The 14,662-nt window shown below is 40.0% G+C and overlaps 1 protein-coding gene across 5 annotated transcripts in view; it reads right to left on the bottom strand.

The window, feature by feature from the left end:
• The window catches only part of SPMIP4 (sperm microtubule inner protein 4), a 54,583-nt gene that overhangs the window by 11,800 nt on the left and 28,121 nt on the right, over positions 1-14,662 (bottom strand). For all 5 annotated transcript variants that reach the window (XM_047419891.1, NM_001371352.1, NM_001371351.1 and 2 more), the window contains 3 exons: positions 14,025-14,113; positions 5,069-5,243; positions 4,670-4,761 (listed from right to left, as the gene is read on the bottom strand). In XM_047419891.1, coding sequence (XP_047275847.1) covers positions 4,670-4,761; positions 5,069-5,243; positions 14,025-14,113 — 356 coding nt within the window. The remainder of the gene's footprint in view (positions 1-4,669; positions 4,762-5,068; positions 5,244-14,024; positions 14,114-14,662) is intronic.

Genomic DNA, 14,662 nt, shown 5'->3' on the forward strand with positions numbered 1-14,662 from the left:
ATTCCTGCCTCTTCCCAAGATTCTGGGTGGTTTAATGGAAATCTTTAGTGTCCCTTGGCTTGTAGAGGCATGACCCCACTGTCTGCTTTCATGTTCACAAGACATTCTCTCTGCAGCATGTCTACCTCTAAATTTTCTTTTTATAAGAACACCAGTTAGATTGGATTAAATTCACCCTCATGACCTCATTTTAACTTGATTACCTTGGAAATGACCCTATTTCCAAATAAGGTCACATTCTGAGGTACTTGGGATTATGCTACAACTTCAACAAAAGAGATTACCCATAATATGGGGTAATTTAACCTTCCTTACATTCTAAAAATCTTGTGTAAGATTGGTGTTATTTCTCCTTGAAGATTAGAAAAGATTTACCAGTAAAACCACTTGGGTCTAGACTTTCCATTTTAGGAGGGTTTTTGATAAATTCAATTTATTATTATGTATAGGACTATTCAGATTTTCTTTATCTTCTCATGCCAATTTTGGGAGGACCACTTTTTAAGGACACTTGTCAATTTTAAGTTATGATCTTTTTAATGCCTGGAGAATATGTAATGATAATCTTTTAAAAAAATTCATTATAACTGTGATTTATGTGTGTATTCTTTTGTTCTTAATCAATCTAACTAGAAGTTTGTCAATTTTGTTGATCTATTCCAGGGATCAGAAAACTTTTTTCTGTAAAAGGCCAAGTAGTAATAAGCTCATAATTTAGTGTAAGCATTGTGGACCATGTGATCATCATTGTAACAATGCAACTCTGCCATTGTTGAATAAAATCAACCATAAACAATCCATAAACAAATGAATATTGCTGAGTTCTTTTATTTTCTTTTTGTGAAGATAGAGTCTTGTTATGTTGCCCAGGCTGGTCTCTAACTACTAGGCTCAAGCAATCCTCCTGCCTTTGCCTCCCAAAAATGACAGGATTACAGGCCTGAGCCACTGTGCCCAGCAACTGTTGCCATGTTCTAATAAAATTTATTTACAAAACCAAAAATAACCACAATGAGTTAATACTCCACAGTCACCGTATAATCAAAAAGAGAGAAATAAATAACTGTTGGCATTTATGTTGAGTAATAAAAACCCTCATACATTTCTGGTTGGAATGTAAAGAGTTACAGCCACTTTGAAAAATGGTTTTGAAGTTTCCTAAAATCATATAACTACTCTCCCAAAACAAAAACATATGTCCATACACAGATTTGCATGTAAATATATGGAAGCTGAATTTTCAACGAGCATTTCAGGTGATGGTGAGGCTGGAGATTTGCTATGCTTTGAGAAACACTGGTCTGAGGTGTCATGTCTGTGCTTCTTTTTAAGTTGTTTTATAAATATGAACTCAATTATGTCTGGTAACTGCGAAAGTAGTGAGTGTATTTAAAGTGCTATTAATAGATACACGCTGGGTGGTGGGAAGAGGATGCAGCTGACTGGGAGGGGGTATGAGGAGGAAACTTTCTGGAATGATAGTATTCTGTATCTTGATAGGGGTTTGGGTTACAAAGGTGTGTTTGTTAAAACTCGATGAATGTACACTTAAGATTTGTGCAATTGCATTGAACTTTATTTCATCTTAAAAGAAAAAAAAACCGCAAACAAATATTGAACTCTGGTTGATAATATACATGCTGCATGTTTAGGAGTGAAGTATACTAATGTCTGCAATTTACTCTAAAATGCATACAAATAATATATTTTTATTATTTCTGGATGATGGATGGTTAGAGGGATGGAAAGATGGATAGATTATGTGATAAAACAAGCATAGCAAAATGTTAGTGGTAGAATCTAGGTGGTGAGTATATGGGTGTTAATTATACATTTTTTTTTTTACTTTTCTGTATGTTTCAAACATTTTATAATAATATGTTAAAGTAAAAAAACTACCAAAGAATGTATGTATAATGATGATGGAATTGACAGCAGAGATAATACAAATGAGAGTAGTGAGAAAATAATCACTGTAGCTTGGACTTAAAAAAATGGACTTAGGAACATCCTTTTGAAAGCTAATCTGTTCATAGTCAGAGAAATTTCCATATTGAGGTAACAAATTTGTTACAGCCTTTAGCTAATCAAGTTTGAGTAAATACTGTGATGAAAAAACTTCAGCTCTTTGACGTGCTTTGTTAAATTTGTCATAAAAAAGGACAGGACTTATCATATTGTACTTTGACCATATATATTTCTGTATGCAAGAAGCAGTTTTTAGTGCTTTTATTTTACACTACTACAATAAAATATTTCATACACATTTTTATTACCATTAAAACATGTTTTCCCAGTCTGTTCTTTATGGTTTAATCAGAAACCAGCAAGAGTCACTAAAACTTTCTTTTAAACTTCCAATTATCTTAGGTATATTTTATCTCGTTATTCATAAATATTTAAGAGTTGATTTGCTTGCACAATGATTTTGCATATAACATATTTGGCAAACATCCTGTATATAATGGAATATGTATTTTGTACATACCATACAGGGTCGAATCTCTGGAAATCTGGACAGTTGTTGAACACACCTGACAACATATGTTCATATAATATTTTCTATACTTAGAGAATGCTCATTGCAAATTCAACAAAAAAATTATTAAAAACCCTTCAGTGAATGATAAAACACAGCCTATAAACCTGCTCCTGGTGTTATGATTTTATATCACCTTAGGAAATGCTGAAGCAAATGTAAAATCAGTATGTTCAGCTCAGTTTTTATTTTATTTATTAATTTATTTTGAGATGGAGTCTCACTCTGTTGCCCAGGCTGGAGTGCAGTGGCACAACCTTTGCTCACAGCAACCTCTGCTTCCCAGATTCAAGCGATTCTCCCACCTTAGCCTCCTGAGTAGCTAGGACTACAGGCATGTGCCACCATGCCCGGTTAATTTTTGTATTTTTAGTAGAGACAGGGTTTCACCATGTTGGCCAGGCTGGTCTCCAACTCCTGACCTCAGGTGGTCCACCCGCCTCAGTCTCCCAAAGTGCTGGGATTATAGGCAAGAGCCACCACGCCCGGCCCTCAGCTCAGTTTTTTTGTTTTCTTTTCTCCCCCCGCCCAGCATGATCTTGGCTTGCTGCAACCTCCGCCCCATCCCCCTGGCTGAAGCGATTCTCCTGCCTCAGCCTCCAGAGTAGCTGGGATTACAGGCGCCCACCACCACGCCCGGCTAATTTTTGTATTTTTAGTAGAGACGGGTCTCACCATGTTGGCCAGGCTGGTCTCGAACTCCTGACCTCAGGCGATCCACCCGCCTCAGCCTCCCAAAGTGCTAGGATTACAGGCATGAGCCACCGAGCCTGACCCAGCTCAGTTTTTAAAGTGTTCAAACTGAAATAATCTTACAGATGTTTTTCCTTGTGTTTTTCACAATTTATATACCTTTAAAATGTTAATTTTGTTTTCAAAATTTGTAGTCGTCGAGAATAAAATTTAGGCCTCAAATAAAACAACACATATGCAAACTATTAGGTCATTTCATCTCATTTACATAATTAAACCAACAGATTATACTTTTGCTCATTAAAGGGCTTGATTATTTCTTCCAGGCCATTTCGCATAATCAATTTAAAAGTCTCTACTGATATCTGCAGAGAACGTATTGGCTTTTCATTGTAATTCAGCCAGCTCTCAATTATTATGAATATCAGGAGGAAGCCTTTATTTCTTCAAAAGCAATGGTAATGTACAAGATATATAAATATGCAAAGGGCCAGGCGCAGTAGCTCACGCCTGTAATCCCAGCACTTTGGGAGGCCGAGGCGGGCGAATCACGAGGTCAGGAGATCGAGACCATCCTGGTCAACATGGTGAAACCCCGTCTCTACTACAAATACAAAAATTAGCTGGGTGTGGTGGTGCGTGCCTGTAATCCCAGCTATTCTGGAGGCTGAGGCATGAGAATCGCTTGAACCAAGGAGGCGGAGGTTGCAGTGAGCTGAGATCGTGCCACCGTACTCCAGCCTGGCAACAGAGTGAGACTCTGTCTCAAGGAAAAAAAAAAAAAAAAAAAAAAGCAAAGATCTACGGAATTTACTAGGAATCTCATTAAATCACTAGTTAAATTCTTTTGTAAACTGCTTCTTTTGTAAGTTATTTCAGCAACAGTAGCATAGTAGAAAATCTGTTAAAAAAAAAAAACCACTCTGAAGAAGAAAAGAAATCTCTTTTTTTTGAGACGTAGTCTCGCTCTGTCGTCTAGGCTGGAGCGCAGTGGCACGATCTCAGCTCATTGCAACCTCTGCCTCCTGGGTTCGAGCGATTCTTCTGCCTCAGCCTCCTGAGCAGCTGGGAGTAGAGGCGAGTGCCACCACGCCTGGCTAATTTGTGTATTTTTAGTAGAGACAGAGTTTCACCATATTGGCCAGGCTGGTCTCGAACTCCTGACCTCGTGATCTGTCCGCCTCGGCCTCCCAGAGTGCTGGGATTACAGGTGTGAGGCACTGCGCCTGGCCCAAGAAAAGAAATCTTGCTTGTTTTCCCAAACAGCAGACAAAGTATTCAAACCAGTTCAAATCAGCTCAGAATTCACTTCTAAAATAAGTAAAAATTTCCATTTGCTAACTTGGTTGCTAAAACCCAGGACACAAAAAGTGGCAAAGCAAGAAGGAGCCCAGCACTCTCCCCCAAAATAACTGAGAGTTGACTGCAATTACTTACCGGCTCTGGGTCAAATCCTATCTTTCGTGTTAACTCTGCTACCATCTTTTCATGGTAATCATCCAGTTCAAGGGGGTCCATGGGCCCCAGACCTTAATGGAAACATCACCTTATTATTTTGTTAGGGTAAACGAAGAACGACAGTTATATTACCCTTTATAGGAAAACTTACCCATTCCTTTTGTAATATAATTAGAACCAATAAAATGAAAACCAACCCTACCTCCCAGCTACCTATGAAGAGAAATTTACCACCCACCTTAATTCTTATTTAAATACTTTAGGATTTAAATACTTTGAGAAAAAGGCAAAAACATGAGAAGTTGAAAGCTTGTCATAGCATTTGTTAAATATTCCAATTTTGTTCTAATTTTTACTTGTATGAAAGTGAACTCATACCTGTAAAATCATGAGTGTACGAAGTGAGCCAGTGGGACCTCTCAAGATTTCTTTGTATGTTGGCTTCTTTGGCAGAGCAAATAGGGTCCCATGAATTTAAAGAAGTGTTAGGAGCGAAGGTTTTAGGAGGTTTTGGGTAGAATACTGGCTTATTTTTCTCAACACCTCTGGGAAACTAAAATATGAACATAAAGATTACTGCTGTTAATGTCATCTAGTAGAATAAGACCTGATTCATGATCTCAGCAGGAAAGAGGCAAAGGAAATTCCAGGCTGACGTCAGAATGGTTTTTTTTTTGTCATTAATTACTAGTTAATTACTAATTGCTATAATTGGAACCATATATAGAGTTAAACACAATATTCTATCAAATAAATGGTAAGGTCTTTTCTAAAAGTCTTTTGCCTTAGCTGGGACTTTGATAATGTGTATTGGAGAAATGTCCCTGAATATTCTACCTCCAGTGAAATTTTATTAGCAATACAAAGGGCTCTAAGGTGGTCTTTTGGCTAAGTTTAGCTAAAATTGTGTGCCTTCTACTTTTCCTTCCATGCCTGAAATGAAACCATTTGATGTCTTTTATGAATTTCCAATGAAGTTTAAATCACTCAAATTCAAATAAAATTTTCATTCTTCAGACGTAACTAGAGAGTTTTATTTTATATTTTCAAAAGAGCTATGCATGTAAACATGAGTGAATAAGTGAGTTTCACTGCAGTCTTTTTGATTACTTAGAAATTCACCTTTTCTCAGTATCTCTCTTATGATACTTAATATTTACTAAGCACCTATATGTGCACAGTAGTGGCTGCAAACAAGCATGGATCCAAAACAAATCTTGCCATCCAGGAACATATTGGCTAGTAGGGGAGATAAACCATGAAACACAAATGACAAAAAGATTTTAACAAGTAATTCTTTGTCATAAAAGAAGTAAAGACACTTTTTTTTTTTTTTTTTTTTTTTCCAGAGACAGGGTCTCACCCTGCCACCCAGGCTGGAGTGCAGTGGTACAATCATAGCTCACTGAAACCTCCAACCCTTGGGCTCAAGTGATTCTCTGGCCTCAGCCTCCTGAACAGCCTGGACTACAGGCCTGTACCACCACTCCTGGCTTTTTCTTTAAAAAATACTTTTTGTAGAGACAGGGTCTCATCATGTTGCCCAGGCTGGTCTCAAACTCCTGACCTCAAGAGATCCTCCTACTTCAGCCTATCAAGCGTTAGGATTATAGACATGAGCTACCATGCTCGACCATGAGACACAATTATTTGAAAGTTCAAAGAAGGGAGAGATTGAATTCACCTGAATGGGGAAGTGGAGCTGGGAAACAGGGAGGGAGGGTGAAGACAAGAGGCCATGTCATGTTATATGCAGAAACTGGGCCTTGAATGATGTGCAGAGATGTGGAGGCCAAAGGAACAGCAGGAGCAGAGGTATGGATAGTGGTGGCAAGTGTGGAAGTAGCATTTCTTCAACATTAGGCTGCTGGGTGCCCTCACAGCCAGGCCCACCCTTAACACTTGAGGGCCTGGGATGAAAGTACAAATGGAAGTCTGTATTCCATTTCACTAAATAGTTAAATTTATAAATCAAGTAAATAAATGTTAAATAAAATATGTTCCTTTCACCTGCTTTGACAAAATATCTCTGGAACAACCTGGAAGACCAGGTTTAAATTTGGACTTCTTGGACTACTTCGAGTTCTGCACTGGGACAGGGTGGTTCAGGGAGAGCCAGCCGCTGGCCCCTGGCCTCAGCACCCTGACTGCTTTCTTCTTTACCCGCCCCATTTACCCACCACCTCACTTCTAGCAAACAGGCATGCAGTCATGTTTTGGTCACTCCTTTGGCCATGAGGTATATACCAGCTTGGCAGCACTGCCAACCCTTGGGAAGATGGACATAAGGAAGAGACCCTAAGAAGGGCCTAGGATTGGGTTTAAAGCCATTTGGTCAGGGAATTCTGTGGTTCAAGATCATGGTCAGGGGAGGGAGACAGAGGAGCATGGGCTCCAGACGAACATATCCTCTTGCTCCACAGAAAGGGCCACAGCCAGAGGAAGGCCAGAACTGGCCCTCTAAAGTGTGGGGCCTTCTAAAGTTCCTGGGCCTAAGGGTTATGCTGTTCATAGCAACCCTGTGAGATTAGAGTGATTCCATTTTACATATACAGTAATCATGGTAAAAGGCACTGCTACCCCTATAAACCTTTAACAAATATGTGGCTTACTTATTCAGGGATAAAGAAAGCCCCTTTTGATCTCCTTATCTTTTTCATTATTTGCAGAGCCAGTTTACTTGGAAATAAGAAGGACTGTTTTTTTTTTTTTGAGATGGAGTCTTGCTCTTGCTCTTGTCCCCCAGACTGGAGTGCAGTGGTGCGATCTCGGCTCACTACAACCTATGCCTCCCGGGTTCAAGTGATTCTCCTGCCTCAGCCTCCCAAGTAGCTGGGACTACAGATGTGCACCACCACGCCCGGCTAATTTTTGTACTTTTAGTAGAGACCGGGTTTCACCATGGTTGGCCAGGCTGGTCTCCAACTCCTGACCTCAGGTGATTTGCCTGCCTCGGCCTCCCAAAATGCTGGGATTACAGGCATGAGTCACCATGCCCGGCCAAGAAGGACTTTTAAAAAAATATTGTTCTATGAGGCTGGATTAATCTTGTATCTTACACTGGTTGAACTAACAACAGAGATCTACTGAAACACATTCAAGGGCACGGGAAAGGAAATAAGCAATGTGAAATTTTACTGTAGCGTGTGATGTCTTGAGAAGGGGCTAAAGAGGCAGGAAACATTTGAGAGGGGAACTGGCCAATTTTCAGTATGTTAAAGGGATGTTACTCTGAGAGGATAGTGAGAGAGGGGTGGTGGAAGTCATTCACTCCAAAGGTATTCATTGGCTCGATACACTAAACTCAGGGTACAGTTTATATCTGATATGGAAGATAAGCCTACGGCAGAAAGGAATTCCAGTTCCTGAGATGTTAGTTTCTAGACAGACACTCCAGTCTACAAAGAAGTGACATTAGTTGTTTTGAATTTGGAATATATTCTCAGAGGAATAGTACTATATAAATGGTGGTTACATTCCCAGCATAGCTCATATAATATATGTAACTCATAACCTATTTAATAAACATTTACTGAATACCTATTGCATGCAAAACCATGTACAAGGTTCTGAGAGTTCTGTGCTAGGCACCAAAACTCCATAAATTGTCACTAAAATAACATGGTTGTAATATATTAAATGAAACAAAAAAAGCAAATATAGTTTTTTTTTTTGTTTTATTTTAGTCTTGAATGATGGGGCTTAACCAGGTTAAATAGGGGAGGTTAAAAGGTTTACTGTGGAGACCACATTGCCATTTGCAGAGGCTTTAGCATTTGGGAATACTGGTTCTTTATTAGATATTTTAATTAATTCTATTAGCACCATTTTTACACTAACAGGTTATGATAAGGCACTTCGTTCATTTACATCTGGAATGAAGACAGAGAGAGAGAGAGAGATGGAGAGAGGGAGCAAATGAGAGACTGGCAGAGAGAATTATTTTTGGCCTCTAGTCAGGGCTTGGGAAAGAGAGACGGCTGAAGGGAGAAGAGGACGCCTGGTTGGATAACAGCGCTGCCTGAGATGGAATGGTGGGAACACTGCGGGTGTGAGACAGAAGATGAGGAGAGAGAGAGACAGTTTGTTTCCCATTCTGGGCACCTTGTCTGTCAATGGGCCTGAGCAGGTGGGAGGGGGCACAGGGTGCTGGCAGTCATGGAGAGGTGCACTGTGGGCATCCAGTTATTTGGTAAGATGACTCCTTTCTAAAGGAGGTCCCTGCATGATCACCAAATTCATTATGGCCACTTAAGGATGAGTGTGGAGTATGGGTGGTATGTTGGAGAGAGAATTGTCCCTGGAATGAGGAAAGTATCTCTAGGATGGGAATGGGCATTTTAGATTGGAAAGATGGCAGGTGGATCAAGAAGAAAAACTGCTCCCCTTTGAAGGGGTGATATCAGTGAGCTCTCTTTCAAAGGGAAGCCAAGGGTCTGTCCAAATATTTAGGTTTGCAGAAAGCTGGGTTGTAATGAACACTGTGTTATTCTCAGTGAGGCTTTGAAAATGGTTTTGTTAAAAACATTTCAAAAAGTCCAAAGTAAGGAGGTTTATGGCACTTGACCTTTGTGATTATATCTCATCTTATCAAAAAATGATTACAAGGTAGATTACATCCTAGAGACTATTCTCATATCCTAAAAGCTAAGGCTAGACATTCAAGTTCTTGAGAAACAGGACAAAAGCCTTCACTTGAGTAAGCAATGAAACCAACAGCCCAGAAGAGTCAAGTATTAAAACCTATGTATGGGCCACACACAGTGGCTCACACCTGTAATCCCAGCACTTTGGGAGGCCGAGGAGGGAGGATCACTTGAGGCCAGGAGTTTGAGGCCAGCCCGGACAACAGGGTGAACCCATCTCTACTAAAAATACAAAAATTAGCTGGGCATAGTGGCGCACATCTGTGGGCTTAGGTACTCTGGAGACTGAGGCAGGAGAATTGCTTGAACCCGGAAGGCGGAGGCTGCAGTGAGCCGAGATTGTGCCACTGCACTTCAGCCTGGGTGACAGAACAAGACTCCATTTCAAAATAAAAATAAAACCTATTTATGTTTGCCAATTGGAAAAGGAAAAGGAATGTTGATTGGTTTGGTAACAGATGGAAACGGTCAGTGAGAAGAGATCTCAGTGGGAAGAGAAGGGTAGCAGGAGAGGCCCCGAATAGAGTGATAAGTACAATGATCACTAATGACTCTGGTGGGGAAAACTGGGCCAGTCCAAAGAGGCAAAGCTAGGGCAGCTCTGGGGTCTGGGTGGGAAAGGGGCGTCTGATCTCAGTAGCTGCTCAAGGCACAGCTGCTGCATCCACATGCAACGTGAAAGGAGGAGGGAAAAACGACATTTAACACACTGTTAACATGAAGCCCCGGGACTTAATTTTTAAAAGGTTAACGTTCTTATGTGGAATATTCTCCTTTCCAAGGTTACCCATTTCTTTATGTTGCTAGGTCAACAAAGTATTATAACCATTGTAATAATAATACCGATAGCAGCTAATATTTATTATGAACTTACGATGTACCAATATTGTGCTGGGTGCTTTTCTGTGTATTTCATTCTCAGGACAGCATTATCAGGTAGATTTTATTATTATTCCTGCTTTATCTGTGAGGAAACTAGGTATTGAAGGATTAAGTATGTTACCCAGGTCACAGAACTGATAAGTTTTAGAGCAGTATGTTATACATATTTTCTTATTGGCTTGGAGGGAAAGTACTAACATACGGTTCCCGGAGTTTTCTGTTTTGCAGCTAAGTTACACATTTTTGGACCTGCTTATCAGGTTAGTAGTGTCCCTTCTCCTTCCCTGGGTAGAGCAGAAGGAGGGAGAAGACTATTATCCCAGAAATGCAAGTTACAAGTCCTTGAAAAACAAGGCATTCTTGTTATGAGTTCCATTCTCAGAGAATGATGTAATTGGTGTGGGGTGCAACCTGCACCCCTGGTGATTCTAATGTGCAGCCAAGGTTGAGGACCACTGCTCTGGCAATAGGAAAGGTAAATACTATAAAAAATATCCTCCTGAGCCTGGTGTGGTCGTGCACAGCTGCAGTCCCAGATACTTAGGAGGCTGAAGCAGGAGGATGCAGAAGGCCAGAAGTTTGAGGATATGGTGTGCCATGATTGCACCTGTGAACAGCCACTGCACTCCAGCCTGGTGTTAAATAATTAATAGATCTGAGAAAGGCAGCATGAGACAGAATCTGCCTCTTTTTTTTTTTTTTTTTGAGACAGAGTCTGACTCTCACCCAGGCTGGAGTGCAGTGGTGCCACCTCGGGTCACTGCAGCCTCTGCCTCCCGAGTTCATGCGATTCTCCTGCCTCGGCCTCCTGAGTAGCTGAGGTTACAGGCATGCCCCACCATGCCCAACTAATTTTTGTATTTTTAGTAGAGTCAGTGTTCCGCCATGTTGGTCAGGCTGGTCTCAAGCTCCTGACCTCAACTGATCCACCTGCCTTGGCCTCCCAAAGTGTCTCCCAAAGGGATTACAGGCGTGAGCCACTGCATCTGGCCATCTCTTTTTCTTTTGTTTCTCATTTTTATTTAATATTTTAGAATTTAAAGCATTTAATTAAACAAAAACCAACTCATAAATTGGGCAGTCGCCAAACCAAAATAGGTTCAGAGACTCTGCCGCCGCCAGGTGGTGGAAGAAGGTTTATGGACAGAAAAAGGAAAGTGACCTATAGAAAACAGAAGTGAGACACAGAAACAGCCAGATTGGTTACACCTTAATGTTTGTCTTATTTGAACACGGTTTGAACAGTTGGCTGCCTTTGATTGGCCAAAACTAGGTGATTGGCACAAGAGTAGGTTACAGTCTGTTTATGCATCCAGTTAGGCTGCAGTTCATTCTGTATGGAGAAATCTTTAGGCCAAACTTAAAAGACATGAGGAGGTAGCTGTAGGCTATACTTAACAATTCCCCCTTTCTGGTTAGTGGGCAACATAATGAGACTTCATCTCTTAAAAAAAAATCCTTTAATAGGAATAGAACATTGTAGATAAAGAACACTGTAGATTACCTCCCCAATTAAATGACAAAAGGCAGGAAAAATAGGAAGGACAAGTATAGGGTATTATCCTAGAGATTAGAGAGAAAAAAAGGTGAGTCATGAGTTACTCCCACGAAGCTCAGCATCTATTTTATTTTTACTTCTTTGTCCAGGGAAATGCAAAACTTGATTAGAGTTAGGGATGAGCCAGAAGAAAATGTGAAAGGTTGAAAATTAAGAGCAGTTAATAAAGATTAAGAAAGTGGGATTAATCATCAGAAATAAGAAATAAATAAATAAATCAGCCAAAAATATTTATGTACAATGCACTGTGGGGATATACACATAACACATTCTGTTCTCAAATAACTCATAATTTAATTGATGAAATATGAAATACGTGAAAAGTTACTGGTTACAGTATGTGTGGCAGAAGTCAGATGAGGGAGATATCATTTCTGCTGCTGGAGTAATAATAATGCCTTATAAATTATAGTATTTTCTAGTTTTGAATCTTTCATATGATCCTCTTATCTTGTGAAATTTACAGGACAGATTTTTAGTGAAATTACCCAGATACGTTTTATGAATTGAAGCTCAGAAAAGGGAAATAATCTGCCTAGTATCACTCACACAGTAAATGGCAACAGAGGAGTGACCAGCAAGCACACAGGCCTCCTGACCTGGTTCTCTTTGCTACATAACAGAAACAAAGAGGGTTGAGCTGAGCCTTGAATTAGCAAGTGTTGGGCAGAGAGGCCTTGGGAGGAGGGCATTCCAGGAAGGGAAATGGCATGAACCTGTTTGGGAACCAGTGGGTGGGGCCAGGCTGCAGGCTGGAGGTAAGGGCAGATCCTGAGGGGTCTCTGCACCTCAGTTAAGGCATAGGGATTTACACTCAGGCAGAGGGGAGCTATTCAGGATGGCTGCCAAGGAATGTGACATGAGGAAAACAGGATTTTAATGACTAGGAAGAAACTTAGCTACAGATCTGGAGCCTTTGGCTATAAGAACATGTAATGATAGGATGGGTTCTAGAATAACTCTCATATTTCTGGGTTGTTTAGATATAGATTTTGCTTAAAAACTGAAAGAGATCCAGTAAAACAGACGCTTCGTTAGGACTTCTTTTTGACATTTAACTATAAAAAAACAAACGGGAAATGACTTACTTTATAGATGACTCTGTGACATGGCGATGACCACATGCTGGGCCTGTCACAGTGGTTTGCCAGGTAAAATTCAAATGTTTTCAACCTCCCAAAATTATCACTTGCCTATCTCATGGATTGCTGGATGCCAAGAGATAATATATGGAGAACACTTGGCACTGCTTCTCACCAACCATGTTAGCTATTATTATTTTCAAACGTCTAGATATTTTCCCTCTTGATTTATAATTTTCTCTTTTTATCCATGTGGAGTTATGGGACAGAGGTTAAGGTCAGAGACTAGAACTTCACAAACCAGATTTCTGTGATCATGACATAGTCACAAATTCTGAGTCACAGTTTCCTTATCTATAAAATGGAAATGATGATGCTAACCTTAGGAGGTTATTGAAAGGGTTAAATGATGTATTTAGAGTGGTTAGATGTGTAGCAATTTCTCAATAAATGGTGGCTATTGCTTTATTTCATTTTAAACTTGACACCAATATGATAATAATGGCTGGAACAATAATAGCTTGCAAATCTTTCTGGAAATCTCCCATTTACTCTCTGCATATTTGGAGTGACTGGAGGTATTATAAGTTGTAAGAATAGGGTTGGAGGAACACAGTGTGAGAAATGCAGCCCTCCTCCACCATCTTCCTGGGGGCAATCTTTTTTTTTGGTAACTGTGGAATGTTCCATAACTACCAACAGCACATGAAATCAGCTAAGAAAACTGAAAAATGTAAATCATAGTCAAAATCTCAAATTTTACATTCAGATAGAAAATGAAAATAAACTTTTAGATTTTTTTTTTTTTTTTTAAACAGAGTTCACTCTGTTGCTCAGGCTGGAGTGCAGTGGCATGATCTTGGCTCACTGCAAACTTCACCTCCCAGGTTCAAGCGATTCTCATGCCTCAGCCTCCCGAGTAGCTAGGACTACAGGTATGCACCACCACACCCGGCTAATTTTTGTATTTTCTAGTAGAGACAGGGTTTCACCATGTTGGTCAGGCTGGTCTCAAACTCCTGACCTCAAGCAATCTGCCCACCTTGGCTTCCCTAAGTGCTGGGATTATGGGCATGTGCCACCATGTCAAGCCTAGATTTTTATAAAGGTATTGACTAAAAATATTTGTTACTTTCCTTTAAACACACATTTAAAAAGATACTTACATCATAATATACACCTTGACCTGGCCAAGTCAGTGCTTTCTTCTTTGAATCCATGGGAATATCAATCAGTTCATATCTATAAGGATTACCTGAAAATTTCAGGAAAAGCAATAAATAAGAACAGTCTTTTAGAGGATTAATAGGTACAATAAATAGAAATGAGATAATACAAGGTAGAGATGGATGTTGGTGTACATTTTACCTATGTAGTTACAGCTTTAGAGAGATTCAGCTTGCTCTTGAATTCTTTTTATTTTTTATTTTTTTTAAGATAGCGTCTTGCTATGTTTCCCAAGCTGGACTTGAACCCTTGGGCTCAAATGATCTTTCCACGTCAGCCTCCTGAGTAGCTGGGACTACAGGGCAGGGCAGGCCACCACACTTGGCTTGTTGCTCTTGAATTCTTGAGCATGTGCAGGAGCAGCATGTGGGCCACACAGAGTGTGAATGAGTCTTTAACCCTAGTGCTCTCAGTAGTAATAGGAGTCACTAGTACTTCACCTTTCTTCTTAATGAGAGAGATCTTAGGTAAATAGTAAGTGTTCCTGGATCCTCTTTCTGATCTTTTTTTCTGGCCTCTGGGGGCTCAACAAATACATTTCTATATTATCTGTTTTGGCTTTTCTCTGCCTAAATAT

Source organism: Homo sapiens, chromosome 7 (assembly GCF_000001405.40).
Source record: "Homo sapiens chromosome 7, GRCh38.p14 Primary Assembly".
NCBI classification, from domain to species: domain Eukaryota; kingdom Metazoa; phylum Chordata; class Mammalia; order Primates; family Hominidae; genus Homo; species Homo sapiens.